General features: G+C 41.7%; 1 pseudogene, besides 2 other annotated features; it reads left to right on the top strand.

Moving 5' to 3' along the window:
* Positions 2,396-2,909: an enhancer, noted in NCBI's record as "NANOG hESC enhancer chr11:123736074-123736587 (GRCh37/hg19 assembly coordinates)". NCBI's record gives its function as "activates a minimal SCP1, AML or CMV promoter by ChIP-STARR-seq in naive H9 embryonic stem cells {active_cell/tissue: H9 hESC(naive)}" and the evidence as "EXISTENCE:reporter gene assay evidence [ECO:0000049][PMID:30033119]".
* OR6M3P (olfactory receptor family 6 subfamily M member 3 pseudogene) lies at positions 5,753-6,595 on the top strand (annotated as a pseudogene).
* Positions 5,942-6,441: an enhancer, noted in NCBI's record as "H3K4me1 hESC enhancer chr11:123732543-123733042 (GRCh37/hg19 assembly coordinates)". NCBI's record gives its function as "activates a minimal SCP1, AML or CMV promoter by ChIP-STARR-seq in primed H9 embryonic stem cells {active_cell/tissue: H9 hESC(primed)}" and the evidence as "EXISTENCE:reporter gene assay evidence [ECO:0000049][PMID:30033119]".

The raw sequence follows: 19,477 nt of genomic DNA, 5'->3' as shown, positions 1-19,477 counted from the left end.
ATGGCCTTTTAAAGCCTATAAACTCTCCTTACAATTTCCCCATTTTACCTGTCCTAAAACCAGACAAGCCTTACAAGTTAGTTTAGGATCTGCGCCTTATCAACCAAATTGTTTTGCCTATCCATCCTGCGGTGCCAAACCCATAGACTCTCCTATCCTCAATACCTCCCTCCACAACCCATTATTCTGTTCTGGATCTCAAACATGCTTTCTTTACTATTCCTTTGCACTCTTCGTCCCAGCCTCTCTCTGCTTTCACTTGGACTGACCCTTGGACTGACCCTGACATGCATCACGCTCAGCAAATTACGTGGGCTGTACTGCCGCAAAGCTTCACAAACAGTCCCCATTACTTCAGTCAAGCCCAAATTTCGTCCTCATCTGTTACCTATCTCGGCATAATGCTCATAAAAACACACGTGCTCTCCCTGCCAATCATGTCTGACTGATCTCTCAAACCCCAACACCTTCTACAAAACAACTCCTTTCCTTCCTAGGCATGGTTACATACTTTCAACTTTAGATACCTGGTTTTGCCATCCTAACAAAACCATTATATAAACTCACAAAAGGAAACCTAGCTGACCCCATAGATCCTAAATCCTTTTCCCACTCCTCTTTCCATTCCTTGAAGACAGCTTTAGAGACTGCCCCCACCCTAGCTCTCCCTGACTGATCCCAACCCTTTTCATTACCCACAGCCGAAGTGCAGGGCTGTGCAGTCAGAATTCTTACACAAGAACCGGGACCGTGCCCTGTAGCCTTTTTATGCAAACAACTTGACCTTACTGTTTTGCCTAGCCCTCAAGTCTGCGTGCAGTGGCCGCCACGACCCTAATACTTTCAGAGGCCCTTAAAATCACAAACTATGTTCAACTCGCTCTCTACAGTTCTCATAACTTCCAAAATCTATTTTCTTCCTGACACCTGACACATATACTTTCTGCTCCCCAGCTCCTTCAGCTGTACTCACTCTTTGTTGAGTCTCCCACAATTATCATTGTTCCTGGCCCAGACTTCCATCCGGCCTCCCACATTATTCCTGATACCACACCTGACCCCTATGACTGTATCTCTCTGATCCACCTGACATTCACCCCATTTCCCCGTATTTCCTTCTTTCATGTTCCTCACCCTGATCACACTTGGTTTATTGATGGCAGTTCCACCAGGCCTAATCGCCACACACCAGCCAAGGCAGGCTATGCTATAGTAGAAGCCACTAGCCTACCTCTTAGAACCTCTCATTTCCTTTCCATCATGGAAATCTATCCTCAAAGAAATAACTTCTCAGTGTTCCATCTGCTATTCTACTATTTCTCAGGGATGATTCAGGCCCCCTCCCTTCCCTACACATCAAGCTCAGGGATTTGCCCCCACCCAGGACTAGCAAATTTGCTATTCTACTACTTCTCAGGGATTATTCAGGCCCCCTCCGTCCCTACACATCAAACTCAAGGATTTGCCCCTGCCCAGAACTGGCAAATTGACTTTACTCAACACGCCCCGAGTCAGGAAACTAAAATACCTCTTGGTCTAGGTAGACACTTTCACTGGATAGGTAGAGGCCTTTCCCACAGGGTCTGAGAAGGCCACCATGGTCATTTCTTCCCTTCTGTCAGACATAATTCCTCGGTTTGGCCTTCCCACCTCTATACAGTCCGATAGCAGACCGGCCTTTATTAGTCAAATCAGCCAAGCAGGTTTTCAGGCTCTTGGTATTCAGTGAAACCTTTATATCCCTTATGGTCCTCAGTCTTCAGGAAAGGTAGAATGGACTAAAGGTCTTTTAAAAACACACCTCACCAAGCTCAGCCACCAACTTAAAAAGGACTGGACGATACTTTTACCACTTTCCCTTCTCAGAATTCATGCCTGTCCTCAGAATGCTACAGGGTACAGCGCATTTGAGCTCCTGTATAGACGCTCCTTTTTATTAGGCCCCAGTCTCATTCCAGACAGCAGACCAACTTGGACTGTGCTCCAAAAAACTTGTCATCCCTACTATCTTCTCTCTAGTCATACTCCTATTCACCATTCTCAACTACTCATACATGCCCTGCTCTTGTTTACACTGCCGGCTTACACTGTTTCTCCAAGCCATCACAGCTGATATCTCCTGGTGCTATCGCCAAACCACCACTCTTAACTCTTAAAGTAAATAAATAATCTTTGCTGGCAAGGCTATTCTGAATCTCCTTAGGCATTCTTTAATTAGATGTCCTAGGTCCTCCCAATTCTTAGTCCTTTAATACCTGTTTTTCTCCTTCTCTTATTCCGTTCAGTTTTTCAATTCATACAAAACAGCATCCAGGCCATCACCAATAATTCTACATGACAAATGTCTCCTCTAACAACCCCACAATATCACCCCTTACCACAAAATCTTCCTTCAGCTTAATCTCTCCCACTCTAAGTTCCCAAGCCGCCCCTAATCCTGCTCGAAGCAGCCCCGAGAAACACCGCCCGTTATCTCTCCATACCACCCCCCAAAATTTTCGCCATCCCAACACTTTACCACTATTTCATTTTATTTTTCTTATTAATATAAGAAAACAGGAATGTCAGGCCTCTGAGCCCAAGCTAAGCCATCATATCCCCTGTGACCTGCACATACACATCCAGATGGCTGGTTCCTGCCTTTACTGATGACATTCCACCACAAAAGAAGTGAAAATGGCCTGTTCCTGCCTTAACTGATGACATTATCTTGTGAAATTCCTTCTCCTGGCTCAAGACCTCCCCTACTGAGCACCCCGTGACACCCCCCACTCCTGCCTGCCAGAGAACAACCCCCTTTTTCCTTTAAACGCAAATCTTATCAAACGGGCCCACCCCTATCTCCCTTCGCTGACTCTCTTTTCGGACTCGGCCTGCCTGCACCCAGGTGAAATAAACAGCCTTGTTGCTCACACAAAGCCTGTTTGATGGTTTCTTCACACAGACGTGCATGAAAAATAGGAACCATGGAAAATACTTTAGAAGAGACATACCTTAGTAACTACCAATAAAAGTCATATAAAATTAAGCTATTTATGTCTTTAATCAATCATCCTTGTGAACAATGTCTTGTTGAGCTTGTTACACACACACACACACACACACACACACACACACACACGGTTACAGAATTTTTAATACCATAAATTCTTTCTTTCTTTTTAGATCACTGCCAGCTGTGGGGTTAGAGATGATTAAAACAAAACAAAACAAACAAACAAAAAAAGCCTTATTTCAAAAACGCTGTTTTATCAAAAGATGAAAATTTAATCTCATTTGGGCATATAGGCAACTGGACTACCGACAGATGAAGAAGAAAGCAATGAGGTATTTTCTCAAGGAGAAAATGTCACAAGAAAAGACACATAAGAAAGAAGAGATGTTTAGTGGATTTCAGAAAACACTTGAAGATAAGGCAGCATGTAGCATGTGGAACATGCTAGCTCCACACAAAAACCAAATACTTGAAGTCACATAGAAGGAACAACAATTTCAAATGCTAGGTAATGAATAAACTGAATGACCTAATATTTCAATTTTCTGCATTCAAGTAGATAATGCTGAATGCAATTAACAACCTATGCACTTCCAATTACCCATCCTTATATAGTTTGTGCTCAAATATTTTATCATAAAGCAATAAACCAACTTTTTCTTCAAATGACTTACTTGACATGTGATGGGCTGATGGTCTATGCTACAGTCCTAAATAAAAGATTCTAAATGGTTAAATGGGCTATGAATTGAGGGAAATCCAGCATTACATTAACAACTCAAAAGAATCCCAGAGCAAAGGTATTGTGAATATCTTGTCCAATAGGAGGCTTGTATTTTCATTTTGTATGAGATCCCTTTTGAATAGCAAGAATTCTTAATTTTAAAATATTTGAATTCCCTAGTATTATCTCTTATGGTTAAGATTTCTTTAACATTGCTGAGAAATCATCCCTACAGTATTTCAGAAATATACTTCTTTATATGTCTTTAAATGTTTAAGTTTAGGTTTTATATTTAAATCTCTAGTCTAATCATAGTTGATACTTTGTAACAAGGAGAAATCTCCTATTTCTATGGATTGGCTAATCTGAAATTTTTGGAGAATGCCCGGAATAGTTTTCATAAAATTACAGACTCTCAAAAACTTACAGGCTGTCTACTCCACTATTCCAATACAGTATTTAACCCATCACTAAAATATCACTGTTGACTTTGCTATTGCTGTTGTTACATTTTTGTTTTTACAGCCTCTTCCCTTGGGATTGGAACAGTCATAACCTTTGATTCATAATGCATTCTGATCTTTCTTCCAGTTATGACCCTCTTTTATTTTAGTTTGTTTTTAATAATGAAATAAACATCTACCACCTGCCCAAGAATGAGAACATTATCAATGAATGACAACTACCTATGTGTTCTTTCTCCATCCTCGCCTCCTGCTCCCGCATAGCCATATATATGGAAATATAGTATTGATATGTATGGAAAATATAATTTTTATATATATTCTTTTTTCCACATTTTCTGAAAATTTCTTCTTTTGCCACTGATTTGCCATACACATAAATTATATATCGAAGTCCTCTATATTCCATGGGTCTGTTTTATGGGGTTACGGGGTTTCTATTCTTGCACAAATGTGACATATTCTGAAAGAAAATTACTTTCTTACTGATGTGCAATAGTGTAATTCCTCTCTTCAATACACTGTTGATTAAATGAGTAATAGTGGTTATGCTTATCTTATTCCTGATTTTCAATTCTTCAAATGTTTCCTCATTTGAAATAATAATTTATGTAATTTTGGATAAATATTTTATACAAAATTAAATAAGTTTATTTCTATTTCTTTCTTTCTATTTCTATAATGACTACGTGTTTAAACATATTAAATACTTTTTCTGTCCATTGAGATGACAGAGTGGTTTGTCCTTGAACCTGTGAGTGTGAAAGAATATTTACAAAAATTTAATATTCAACCATTCTTTCATCCCTGGGATAAGCTTATACGCACTATTGATTTTGGCTTACTTATCCTCTTTTGAAAAATACTGGCACCTCCTCCTCTCCCTTTTGTTCCCTCTGTCACCATGTGACACTTCTGCTCCCCCTTTGCCTTCTGCCATGACTGGAAGCTTCCTGAGGCTTCCCCAGAAGCCAACTAGATGCTGGAGCCATGACTTGGACAGTCTGCAGAATGGTGAGCCAAATAAACCTCTTTGCCTTATAAGTTACCCAGCTGCAGGTATTCCTTCACAGTGAGGCAAAATGGACTAAATAAAAATGGTAATAGAATTTGTTTGATTGCTTCTCTTCCCTCAACAAAGTATGATGTGATGTTATATGCTAGGATAGCCAATGAAGGGTTAAAATATGATTGAAATAACTTGGGGAATTTTCAGTTTATTATATACTTCAGTGAGCTTGGATGGTTTTGTATCTAAGAAGGAAATAGAGAAGAAATATATAAGTTTAACAGAAATCAAAAAGTAAAAGTTTAAAGGAACCATAGAGTTGTGTATTTTTTTTTAATCCAAACTGTTAATCATATAGATGAGAAGTGAGACCAAATGACATCATTTGATTTGCCCCAGGCCACCGTCACAGACAGGATTAGGACCCTTCTCCTCTGGAATGTCCTCTCTATTCTAGATTTAGCAAGATCATAGAAAATTTGAAGGGTATCTTAAACTGTTCTAATTTCCTTTGTTTGTATTTTTGCCCCTCCAGTGGAAGGGTCATACGAAACCAGACAATGGTAACTGAATTCACCCGGTCTCCCTTCCTGCTGTCCAGGAGCTTCAGATTTGGCTATGTGTCCTTCTCTGGCTGGTTCATATGCTCACCATAACAGGAAACCTTTTCGTCATTTTCTTAACGTGGACAGATAATTGTCTCCAAACCCCAATGGACTTGTTCCTTAGAAAAAAGTCATATCGTTCTCTGGCTGCATCACCCAAATATATTTCTACTTCTTTCTAGGGACAGTGGCGTTTATCCCCTTGGCAGTGACATCCTTCAAACACTGCATGGCAACCTGTGACCCCCTGTGCAGCACCATCATTGCAAAAAGCAGGGCCTGCCTCCTGCTGGCTCTGGGATGCTGGATGGGAACCTTCCTGGCTGTGTTGCGCCTGACTATTGTGGTGTCCAGGTTGCCAGACTGTACTGAAAAAATTAGTCCCTTCTTCTGTGACATTGCCTCTTTACTGCAGGTGGCCTGTATTGATATTCATTTCATTGAGATGATAAGCTTCCTTTGATCATCTCTTATGGTCCTGACCTCGCTGGTGCTTAATGCCACATCCTACGCCTACATCATTTCTCCCTCCTGTGCATCCCCTCAGCCCAAGGATGTCAGGAGGCCTTTTCCACCTGTGCTTCACACATCACCATCATCTTTATTGCCTGCCGAAACTCCATCTCCACGTGTGTGAGGCCTAACCCGAGGTATTAGCTGGATTTTGACAAAGTGACAGCTATCCTCACTATAGTAGTGACTTCTTTTCTGAATCCCCGCATTTATAGCTTGAGGTAAAGGAAGTATGAAGGGAGTCAATTTGCACAATACTGTCACCACATTCCAAAGGAACATGACACTAAGCAACTTCAGGACATCTAAGCTATGCTGCCTCTGTATGGCACCTCGTTCACGTGAACGGCGGTACAGAAGTGAGGCATTATGTAGGCAGAATGAATAAGCATCACACATCACTAACAGTGAAATATTATAACCTTGATATGAAAGCCAGGAAAAAAAAGTAAAGATTCTATGTCCTCATTGTCTCTGAAATATTTTTCATGTAGTAATACGGAATGGCAGAAAAACTCGAGACCCTGAGTTATAAGAGCTAATGTCTAACATTTGTTTAGCCACTAAATGTCCATGGAGTTAGATTAGTTATATTACTTCTCTAAGCTCTTGCTCGTCTCTAAAATGATGGCAGGAATTTCTGCTGTTTACCTTACATGACGCTTGTGGCTCTTAAATGAGATCATTCATATAAAGTAACAACATGTCATCACATGTGGACATTGGAAGAGTGAAAAATAACGAGCTTTCACTAGCCTGAAATGCTTCCTTTTAAATAATCTTGACTATGTTAAGAGGCAAAATATTTAATTCTCCTAGCCAATACGGCAAAGAGACAAGTTTAAAAGATTGATTAATGAAAAGACTATATCATCCTATGCTGTTTCTAGGGAAAAGGTCTATCCTGCACACAAGTCAGGTATACACCTGCTGTGGCATTGGGAGCCTCAGATTATCTTTACCTAGTTCCATTAAACATTTTATTTGGTTACTAATGTCCTTTGTTCTGACTCAAGTTTCACTAAATACCTATGTACCTACTTTGTTTTCCCATATACTTTTTCTATTTGGAGGAAATATTCTGGCAAAAGCAAAAGTTGTGTAGCTGTCTAGCACTATCTTTGTTATTGTAAATTAATTTCTATTCTGATTAATGTGAGTCATCTCTAAATGTAGTTTCTACACACTGTGATCACAAATAAAAATGTGATTAATTTACCAACACAGTATGACTTTAAAGACTATATTTGGAAAGCAGGATCACCTTTTAAGTCTATTATTGTTTCCCGTAACTATGTATATAGCTCTTTTCTTCAAATTTTTATGCTTTGTTGAGGTTTTATTAGTTAGAAAGGGCAACGATGCAGTGTGACCAGTGTCACCAGGAAAGGGTAGGATGCAGAAGGCTGTTAAGCAAGGTTAGAAATAGGAATGTCACCGTGGATGTTGATACTGTTGCTAAGTATCCTAGAGAATCAGAGAGCTTGGTTTGCGTCAAAGAGGGGTGAGATGTTCAACAACTAAGCATAACCTTAACAACTGAAACAGGATTCAATATAAAGAAGGAAACATCACTTTGCCACTGTAAAAAGAATTATGGTAATGTATAAGAAAAAAGTAGCCCCTATCACCCAGAACTGCTCTGAGGTTCAAAGATAGGCCCTAATGTGAGTACAAACTGATCTGATGCTCACAGCTACGATTTTCTCTCATTGCCCGTTAACAAGCTCACCAAACATCCATTTCAGACAAGATCATCATGTGGCACAAAATACCAAACATCACCTTTTCTCACCAAATGAATGACTGCTGTCTCTTTACCAATTATACCTTTATCTCACTCTGTCTACCCTCACTATAGATAAGGTATTTTGAGATACTCAGTAATAGAATTGCCTCATTTTTCTAACAATGCTTAATCCAGAGCAAGCCCCTACTTTTTTAGATACTTCCTGAAAGTACCAGAGCCCAAATCCTGTAGCTGGTACACCCTCTTATTTAAATATTCTATGGTTCCCCACGGTGTGGGCTCTTCTCATGGTGATGATTAATTAAACCCTACTTGTTTAACTATAGGTATGTTGCTGGTAGTCTTTGGCATAAGAACACTGATTTGTAGAGAAACATAAGGCTCGGATAAAAGGCAAACAAACCTTAAAGCCTCTGAATCTAGAGAACCCCAAAAGTAAGAAAAAGTGTTTGAAAATACAGAATGGTGTAAAAATAGTACCATGAAAAGAACTGAGAGTCTACCTCTGGCTCTGCATCACCTGGTGAGTTTGACAATCCTAATGAGAATGAATCAGTGATTAAATAAAACCACATCGTATAATTCAGATTATATTAATTATGTCTTTGTATGACTAAAGGGTTTTGTTTACTCACAACACTGTTTTTGTCTTCTTAGTTATAAATAATACTTACGTTGCTAAACCCCTAGGTTAAAGAACTCTACTGAGGTCTTGTTCATGCAAAACACCTACCCCTAAGTGAACACAGCAAATATTTTTTTCTGCATTTGGTGCCAGAAGCCTATGAGAGCCTCAGTTATACTAATACCTGTAACCCAGGTGGTAGGAAAAGAGAATAGTCCTCTGATAAGAAATTGCAGATAATTCTGTCTGTGTAACACTTTGTAATCGGACATATCTTATTTTGATTATTTCTTACTCAAATTTTATTTTGATTTATACTTTTCCTTGGAATGCTATTTCCTTATGCTCCAAGGTCCCCACCAAACACCGAAAGAGATCAATTTAACTTCTTTTATGGATTCAATGTAGTAAAACAGTCTTCATTTATTAGATTGTTTCATGACATTTTGTGACAGTTGGAAGATATTACATTACCTAAAGCCTCGTCATCTACAAAATCAGTGACAGTATGACTTTTTAAGGGTCTTCTTTTATGTTTGTTCCTCATTACTCACCATTCTCATCACTGGTTTAAGAGAGAGCTGTCAGAAGACTACCCCAAGTCTGTGGGATAACAGTTCTTTAAACACAAGTTTCTATCCTATAGACTAAAATGCAAAGCCCAAATTACTTATGTGGGTTTTTTTTTCTACTCATGCACATCGTGTTAAAATCCCAATAAAGATAAGATTCAAGCTTCAGTATCTGACTTCAGTCACACACGTAAAAATGTCTAGCATGGTCTTATTTGCTTTGAACAGACCCGTATCCCAACCAGTTTGTACAGCGGTGGTCTGGATTGGAGGTGAAGTTATGTTCAAGTGCAAAGAGGAAGTTGCTTTCACTTGGATACAACAAAAGGCCTATAGGCCTATAGGTAAATATGGAACTAAATATTTAGAAAAGGAACTTTCAAAACCTCTTCATTCATTCATAATTAAATTGCACTTCAAAATTTCTCATAGGCTGAAATGAAATACTCCAAATAGTTAACATAGATTAATTTGAGTAATACGATGGCTGGCATTTTTCCATCACTCTACTTTTCTACATTTCCTACATTTTCGTACCCAGAATACATACATTTAAATTTTTTTAATTAAATGAGAATTTTGTTATGAAGAGGTCAAATTTATTTTACCACTAATGCACAGGAAACTAAGAAGGGACTCTCATATTTGGTTAAATAAATAGGATATTATCTTATTCTATCTGTTTTAAACTCTCAAGGTTCACGTTCTTTAATGTAGTGTCCATTTTGTGAGTAGAAATAAATATCTAAAACTTCCTGCTTTTTAAAAACTCATTTTTTTGTCTTCTAGTTGTAAGTAAATGTCCTAAGGGACTGTTTTTTTTTTTTTTCTTTAAGTTCAAAGTTTGGAAATTAATCCTGAGGGAAATGTACTGAGCCAAAGTGAACTGATTGCAACTTTTACTGGTTTTGAATTATCTCCACTGGCAGCAAGTTAGTAATGAAGTTCCTAAGTGGTAACGGCAACAAAATAATGCAGTATTTAATCTGGGAGTCTAGATCCCATATCCAACATAAATAAGTCACAGCTTTGGGGCAGAATTTAAATTATTAATACAAAAGTCATAGACTAACCCATCAACAAAGGATGATTATCGTGAGATCCAAGGTCCCACCACAAGTGATGATTCTGACAACTTTTGAAAGAATGTATTATTTGTGAATATTTATGAAGCACCACAACTTGATATACTTTGGGGCCATGTGCAAAGTAGCACATCAAGAGAGAAATTGAAAGTGACACGAGCAAGATGGTAAATTAGGAAGTACAGCCCTCATCTCCCCATGGAAACACTGATTTACTATTCACATATGGGACAAAATACTTTTATGAGATCCCAGAACTCAGTTAAGAAATTGCAGCACTGTAGACAAACATATAACCAAAAACAGCTGCATTGAAACAGGTAAGAAGAGCAGTTTCACTTTATCCACATCAGTCCCTGTCCCCAAGCTAGCACAGTTCAATGCCCTGAGAGAGCTCCTCATCACGTGATTTCTCCCTCAGGACCAAGAGGGAGTGAAGCTCGCATCCAATGTGCCCAGCAGTTAGGGGAGCTTCCTGAGATACCTGTTTCTCTCACTTCCCTCAAAGCATTGAGAGGACTTAGAATGATAGGGTAAGAACAAAAATGATTAAATCAGCAATCAAAAACCTCCCAAGAAAAACAACCACAGAAAAAAAAAAAAAGGGGGGCCCACGATCAGATGCCTTCATGGATGAATTCTACTAAATACTTAAAGAATAATTAATACCAATTATATGATTTGGCGCTGTGTCCCCACCCAAATCTCATCTTGAATTGTAATAATCCCCATGAGTCAAGGGTGGGGCCAGATGGAGATAATTGAATCATGGGGACAGTTTCCTCCATACTGTTCTCATGATCGTGAATAAGTCTGATGGTTTTATAAATGGGAGTTCCCCTGCACAAGCTCTCTTGCCTGCCACCATGTAAGATGTGCCTTTCTCCCCCTTTGTCTTCCACCATGATTATGAGGCCTCCCCAGCCATGTGAAACTGTGAGTCCACTAAACCTCTTTTTCTTTATAAATTACCCCATCTTGGGTATGCCTTTATTAGCAGCATGAGAACAGACTAATACAACCAATTATTCTCAAACTCTTCCAAAAAACTGAAGAGGAAGGAACACCTTCAAACCCATTGTATGAGGCCAGCCAAACAGAGACAGGAAAAAACAAACAGAGACACTACAAGAGACAAAGCTAAAGAGAGACACTGCAAGAAAAGAAAACTATAGGCCAAATATACCTTACGAACACAGATGCAGACTTGTGTGGTTGCTTCATAGTGTCACTGGTCTGTGTACTTCACTGTGTTGTGTAGTGGCTGGTAACAATTTTTCCTTTCCATATTTAGTGCTTCCTTCAGGAGTTCTTGCCAGGCAGGTCTGGTGGTGACTAATTCCCTCAGCATTTGCTTGTCTGTAAAGGATCTTATTTCTCCTTCACTTATGAAGCTTAGTTTGGCTGGATATGAAATTCTGGGCTGGAAATTCTTATCTTTAAAAATACTGAATATTGGCCCCCGATCTCTTCTGGCTTGTAGGGTTTCTGCTGAGAGATCCTCTGTTAGTCTGATGAGTTTCCCTTTGTAGATGACCTGGTCTTTCTCCCTGGCTGCCCTTAACAGTTTTTCTTTCATTTTGACCTTGGAGAATCTGATGAACACGTGTCTTGGGGTTGATCTTCTCATGGACTATCTTACTGGGGTTCTCTGGATTTCCTGAATTTGAATGTTGGCCTGTCTTGCTAGATTGGGGAAGTTCTCCTGGATGATATCCTGAAGTATGTTTTCCAATTTGATTTCATTCTCCTTGTCTATTTCAGATACGCCAATCAATTGTAGGTTTGGTCTTTTTACATAGTCTCAAATTTCTCAGAGGTTTTGTTTGTTGCTTTTCATTCTTTTTTCTCTATTCTTGTCAGCCTGTCTTATTTCAGAAAGATAGTCTTCAAACTCTGAGATTCTTTCCTCCACTTGGTCTATTCTGCTACTGATAGTTGTGATTGCATTGTAAATTTCTCATGTTGTGTTTTCCAGCTCCATCAGGTCAGTTACGCTCTTGTCTAAACTGGCTATTCTGGTTATCAGCTCCTGTATTTTTTAATCATGATTCTTAGCTTCTTTGCATTGGGTTACAACATGCTCCTTTAGCTCAGTGAAGTTCACTATTACCCACTTTTCGAAGCCTACTTCTGCCAAGTCATCCATCTCAGCCTCAGCCCAATTCTGTGCCCTTGCTGGAGAGGTGTTGCAGTCATTTGGAAAAAGGCACTCTGACTTTTTGAGTTTTCAGCATTTTGCATTAATTCTTTCTCATCTTTGTAGGCTTATCTACCTCTGATCTTTGAGGTTGCTAACCTTTGAATGGGGTTTTTGTAAGGTCTTTTGTTGTTGTTGTTGATATTGTAGTTGTCTTCTGTTTGTTTTTCTTTTAACAGTCAGGCCACTCGACTATAGGGCTGCTGCGGTTTGCTGGGGGTCCACTCCAGACCCCACTCTCTTTGGCCTCTCCTGCATCTGCAGGAGGCAGCTGGGGTCCCCCACTGGAAGATCTCACCCAGTCAGGAGGGACAGGATCAAGAACCCACCCCATGAAGAAGTCTGGTTGCTTCTTGGTAGAGCAAACATGTTGTGCTGGGTCGGGGGAAGCCTCTTTCATGAATATGGGACTGCCCATATTCTCCTCAGCCAGCAGGACAAAATGGCTGAGTTTAGGGAACTGCAGAGATGGCGGATGCTCCTCCCCTTGGGAGTTCCCTCCTAAGGAGAGATTAGATCTCTGTCTGCAGAGCTGAGGACCCACCCAGTAAGGAGAAGTGGGTCGGGGTCCCGGTTAAAGAAGTAGTCTGGCTAAAGAAGCAGTCTGTCCACCATCTGGTAAGGCAGCTATACTGTGCCCCGGGGTCCTTTCCTTTTCTGTGCCCCTGGCAGGCTGGGATGGCTGAGTCTACAGAACCACAGATATGGTGGTCATCCCTCCTACCAGGAACTCCCTGCCAGGGAGAGATCGGAGTTCTGTCTGTGGAACAAAGGACCCACGCAGTAAGGAGGACTATGTCAGGGCCCAGGTTAAAGAAGCAGTCTGGCCCCGATCTGGCAAGGCCATTGTGCTGCACCGTGGGGGCCCCTATTCATCTGGACTGTATGCGTTCTCCACAGCCAGCAAGCTGGAATGGCTGTTTCCCTCTGAACCATAAAGATGGTGGCCGTCCTTCCCTTCAGGAACAAGGTCTTGTCTCCAGCCGACTTAACCCTCTGCCCTTGGCTGGCCAGATTCTAACCCAGTGGGTCTTAACCCATGAGGTACTATGGAAGTGGGGCCTACAGAACGATGCTGCTTGACTCCCTGTATTCAGCCTCCTTCCTAGGGATGTGTATAGAAGGATTTTCCACCTTGTCAGTATCTCTGGCCCGAGCATGCAAAACTCCTGGGTCTTTGTATGTGTGTAAGTGGCTATTTTGCCAGGACTCTGCCCAGCTTTGTGTAACAAACCCAAGGCCCTTGTGATGTGGGCTCATGAGGGGATCTTCTGCTCCACAGGTTGCAAAGACCTGTGGGAGAAGCATGGCTTCCCAGGTGAGTCACACAAACACTCACCACCTTCCCTGGCTGAGGATGAGGGTTTCTTTGGCCCCAAGCTTCTCCTGGGTGGGCCATCACTGCACCCCCCACCTCAAACCTGCTTCTCCCCACTCTCTGTGGATCTTAACTGCTTGCCTATTCATTCCTAATATGATAACCTGGATATTTCAATTGAAGGTATTGTATTCACTTGCCCCTTTTCATTCCTCTCCATGAGTGCCATGGACCACAGCTACATCTAACTGGCCATTTTGTCCCCAACCCAAAATGTCTTAATGCAACTCAGCATCAACTCAAAAGTCCAAAGTCTTCAATTTAATCTGAGAGTCAAGGCCATGTTTCTTCCACCTATGAACATGTAAAATCAAAACAAGATATTTACTCTAAAGACACAATGGTGGTAAAAGCAATGTGTAGACATTTCCCATTTAAATAGAGAGAAATTGGCCAAAAGAAAGAGGCAACTGGCCCACACAAATTTGAAACCCAGCAGGCAGACATTAAATCTTAAAGCTCCAGTGTAATCTCCCTTGACTCCATGTCCCACATTCTGGGCACACTGATGTGAGGGGTGCACTCTGAAGACCTTACACAGTTCCACCCCTGCATCTTTGCAGGGTGCAGCCCCTGTGGCTGCTCTCACAGGCTGGAGTTAAGTGCTTGCAGCTTCTCTGGGCTCAAGGTGCAAGCTGCCACTAGCTCTACCATTCAGGGGTCTGGTGGGTGATGGCCCCATTCCCACAGGCAGTGCCCCATAGGAGTCTCCATGTAGAGGCTCCAACACCACATTTCCCTTCAGCACTGCTCTAGTAGAGTCTCCGTGCAAGGGCTCCACCTGAAGCAAGCTTCTGCCTGGGCACCCAGGCCTTTCAGTATTTCCTCTGAAATCTAGGTGAAAGCTGCCAAGCCTCCTTCACTCCTGCATTCTGTGTAACTGCAGGCTTAACATCATGTGGAAGCCACCAAGGCTTACAGCTTGTGCCCTCTGGAGCTGTGACCTGAGCTGTACCTGGGTCTTATTGAGCCATGACTAAAGGTGGAACAGCCATGATGCAGGGAGTGGTGTCCCTAGGTGGCACTGGGCAGCACCGCAGGCCTTGCCCAGAGTGGGGATGTCCTAAAGGCCTCTGGGCCTGTAATGGAAGGGGGATGTCCTAAAGACTTCTGAAATGCCTTTAAGGCCTTTTGCCCATTGTCTTGGCTATTAGTACTTGGCTCCCTTTTAGTCATGCTAATCTTTCTGGCAAGTGGTGGCTCTGCAAGCCACTTGGATTCCTTCTCTACCACACCGCCAGGCTGCAAATGTTCTAAACTTTTGTGTACTGCTTCTCTTTTAAATATAAGTTACAATTTTAAGTAATTATTTTGTTTGATATCTGATCCCAGGCTGTCATAAGCAGGCAGGCCACATCTTGAATGCTTTGCTGCGTATAAGTTTCTTCTGCCACTCTTAAGTTCAACCTTACACAGAGACCTAGGATATAAATACAATGCAGCCAAGTTCCTTGCTAGGATATAACAAGGGTAACCTTTGCTCCAGTTCTCAATAACTTCATGATTTTCATCTGAGACCTTATCAGCTTGGCCTTCGCTGTCCATATTTCTATGAGCAATTTGGTCATAATCACTTAACAAGTCTCTAAGAAGTTGCAAACTTTCCCTTGTCTTGCCATCTTCTTCTGGGATCTCCAAATTCTTCCAGTGTCTTCCCATTACTCAATTCTAAAGCCACTCTCACATTTTCAGGTATTTTTATAGCAATTCTCCACTCCTCAGTTCCAATTTTCTGTGTTAGTTCATTTTTGCATTGTCATAAAGACATATCTGTGACAGGATATTTCTGTTTCCACTCATGGCAGAAGGTGAAGAGGAAGCCAGCACATCACATGGTGAGAGCAGAAGCAAGATGGAGGAGGGGTAAGTCTCAGACTATTTAAAATAACCAGAACCCACAAGAACAAACCTAACAAAAACTCCCTCATTACCAAGGGGAGGGTGCTAAGTCACTCATGAGGGATCTGCCTCTGATCTGATACTTTCCACTAGGCCCCACCTCTGACATTGGGAATCACATTTCAAGATGGGATTTGGAGGGGACAGACATGCAAACCAGATTCAAGATAAGTGACTAGAAGCAGCCAGAAGGAACATCTGACACCAAGAGACTGGGACATTGAGAAGACAGGCACACTCTGAGCAGATCTTCAGAGTAAAGGCATTGAGAGTGGACAGAGGGATGACACAGAGGCTGGGCTGAAGGGAGTGGAAGCCAGCAACTCTGCATGGAGCTACTGCACACTGGGGCTCATTCATGGCCCTCAATTCCTGGGGGAGGAGCGAGGTGAACAGGCAAGAAGTGACTGCTCTCACCACAGACCTCTGGAATCCTGGCAACAGGAGACCCTATGAGCCCCATGGGCACTTGAGCTGGCAGGGAGAGCTTCTTAGAGAGGTGGTAGGGGCAGGACTCCAGCCTGTGCAGAGCCCAGGGGGTTTGGTGTGGAAACATCTGCAGTGGAGCATGGCCAGGGATACCCATCACCCAAGGCTCACTATGCTCCTCTAGGAGACATTAGCCTTAGGGGGCCTATTGGACATGAACAGAGCAGGGTGTCTTGCCTGTGAGATGGGTCCAGCCCAATCTGAGCAACTCCCCGTCTGCTGCCCCCACCCCCAGGACCACAGCCTGGCCATGCATGCTTACAGTGCAGCCTCAAATACCCAATCAAGATGTTTCCTGAGTGCCCTTATCACAGCTCCCTCACTGGCAGACTGCATCTGACCATGGAAAAGCACCAAAAGAGTGGCTCCCACCATCATGTACTATCCCACCCACACTGTTCCCCGACTGCAGCCTCTCCCATGCCACTCTTCCAGCATGCACTCACCTATAGCCACCTCCCCACCACATTGCTGGCATGTGAGACAGTGGGTAGACCTCAACTCCCTTCACTCACCGGCACATGTGTACACATGCACCCTGCACCACTGCTACTGGTATGAGGCCACCCCACCCCTGGCTGTGCCACCATGGTCAGCACAAATGCACACACAGATGCCAGCAACCCCACTCCCCCAACACAGCTGCTGCTGCTGACATGAACACACACACAATGACAACCCCAACCCCCGCATACGCCACCACCACCCCTGCTACTGCAAACACAGGCACAGAGGCTGGCAGCCCTGTGTGCAACAGCAGCCTGCCCCCACCACGGGCATTGCCAATGTGACCATGAATAGGAATGCCACAGCTCCACTCCCACTGGTACCCTACCACAGGTGATGAGCATAGTACCCTGCCGCACTGCCGCTATTGCTGGCACACATGAATGAACATGAATTCCACTGCTACTGCCCCAGTGAAGTACTTTGGCTGGCACCACCCATCAGAGTGCTATGGCCAATGGTCCAGGAATATCTCAGCTGCTCCAGCAAAGGTTTCTAACTTTGAGAGGCCAGAGAACAAAGCCAGAGGTCTGATACCAGCCCCCAGAGTTACAGCACACAACCCAAAAGCACTAGGCTGAGCTCTAGCCCCCTAAAACCTTCCAAAAATAAAGCCAGTTGACTGAACTCACATTATACCATTATCAAACCTGCAAGGGCATCAAAGAAGATAAAAGAACAAAAAAACATTCAAAGGATAGCAGCTTCAAAGACTGAAGGAATATCAGCCCACACAGATGAGAAAGAACCAGTGCAAGAACTCTGGCAACTCAAAAAGCCAGAGTGTCTTCTGACCTTCCAACAACCACACTAGTTCTCCAGCAATAAATTGGAATCAGGCTGAAATGACAGAAATAGAATACAGAGTAGGGATAAAAATGAAGATTGAGATTCAGAAGAAAGTCGAAACCCAATTCAAGGACTCTAACGAATACAACAAAATAATATGGAAGATGGATGATGAAATGGCCATTTTAAGAAAAAAAAAATCAGACTGATCTGATACAGCCAAAAAACTCACTTCAAGAATTTCACAATGCAATCACAAGTATTAACAACAGAATTGACCAAGCTAAGGAAAGAATCTCAGAGCTTGAAGACTAGTTCTCTGAATAACTCAGTAACCCAAAAATAAAGAAAAACCAGTAAAGAAGAATGAACAAAACCTCCTAGAAATATAAGATCAAATAAAGAGACCAAATTTACAATTCATGGATATCACTGAAAGAGGGACAGAAAGCAAGCAACTTGGAAAACATACTGAGAATATTGTCCACAAAAATTTCTCCAACTTTGCTAGACAGACTGATTTTCAAATTCAAGAAATGCATGCAGAGAATCCCTTAGAGATACTATACAAGATGACCATCCCTAAGACACATAGTCATAAGATTCATTCTGCAAGGTAGAAATAAAAGAAAAAATATTAAAGGTAGCTAGAGAGTAGGTGCAGATCACCTACAAAAGGAACCTCATCAGGCTAACAGTGAACTTTTCAGAGAGAAGCCCTATGAGCCAGAAGAGATTAGGGGCCTGTATTCAGCATTCTTAAAAGAATTTTCAACCAAGAGTTTCATATCCAGCCAAACTAAGCTTTATACCTGAAGAAGAAATAAGATTCTTTTAAGAAAAGCAAATGCTAAGGGAATTTGCTACCAACAGACCTGCCTTACAAGGAGTTTGTAAGGGAGTGCTAAATATGGAAAGAAAAGACCATTATTGGCCACCACAAAAACACACTTAAGTACATACACTAGTAACAATATTAAGCAACCACACAATCAAGTCTGCATAATCAGTTAACAACATGACAGTATCAAATCCACACATATCAATATTAACCTTCAATGTAAATTGTCTAAATGCCCCAATTAAAAGGCATACAGTAGCAAGTTCAATAAAGAAGCAAGACCCAACTGTATGCTGTCTTCAGGAGACCCATCTCACATACAATGACACCGCAGGTTCAAAGTAAAGTGGTGGAGAAAAATCTACCAAGCAAACAAAACAACAACAACAAAAAAAAAAAAAGAAAGAAAGAAAAAAAGAAAAAAGGAGGGGCTACTACTCAAATTTCAGACAAAACAGACTTTCAACCAACAATGGCCCAAAAAGACAAAGAAGGGCATTACATAATGGTAAAGGGTTCAATTCAACAAAAATACCTAATTGTCCTAAATATATATGCACACAACAAAAGAACACCCAGATTCATAAAGCAAGTCCATGGAGACCTACAAAGAGACTTAGATAACTACACACTAATAGTGGGAGAATTCAATACCCTAATGACAGTATTAGATCACTGAGGAAGAACACTAACAAAGATATTCAAGATCTGAACTCAACACTTGACCAAACAGACCTAATAGACATCTGCAGAATGCTCCAACCAAAAACAGCAGAATATACATTCCTCTTATCTGCACATGTCATATACTCTAAAATCAACCACACTCGGGCATAAAACAATCCTCACCAAATTTTTCAAAACTGAAATCATACCAACCTCATTTTGGAACCACAGCACAATAAAAATAGTGATCAATTCCAACTACTTGGGAAGCTGAGGCAGGAGAATGGCATGAACCCAGGAGGTGGAGCTTGCAGTGAGCCGAGATCACACCACTGCACCTCCAGCCTGGGTGGCAAAGTGAGACTC

The sequence above is a fragment of the Homo sapiens genome, chromosome 11, assembly GCF_000001405.40.
Source record: "Homo sapiens chromosome 11, GRCh38.p14 Primary Assembly".
Taxonomy (NCBI): Eukaryota; Metazoa; Chordata; class Mammalia; order Primates; family Hominidae; genus Homo; species Homo sapiens.
Note: the sequence above shows the minus strand (reverse complement) of the source record. Positions and strands in the feature narration are given on the sequence as shown.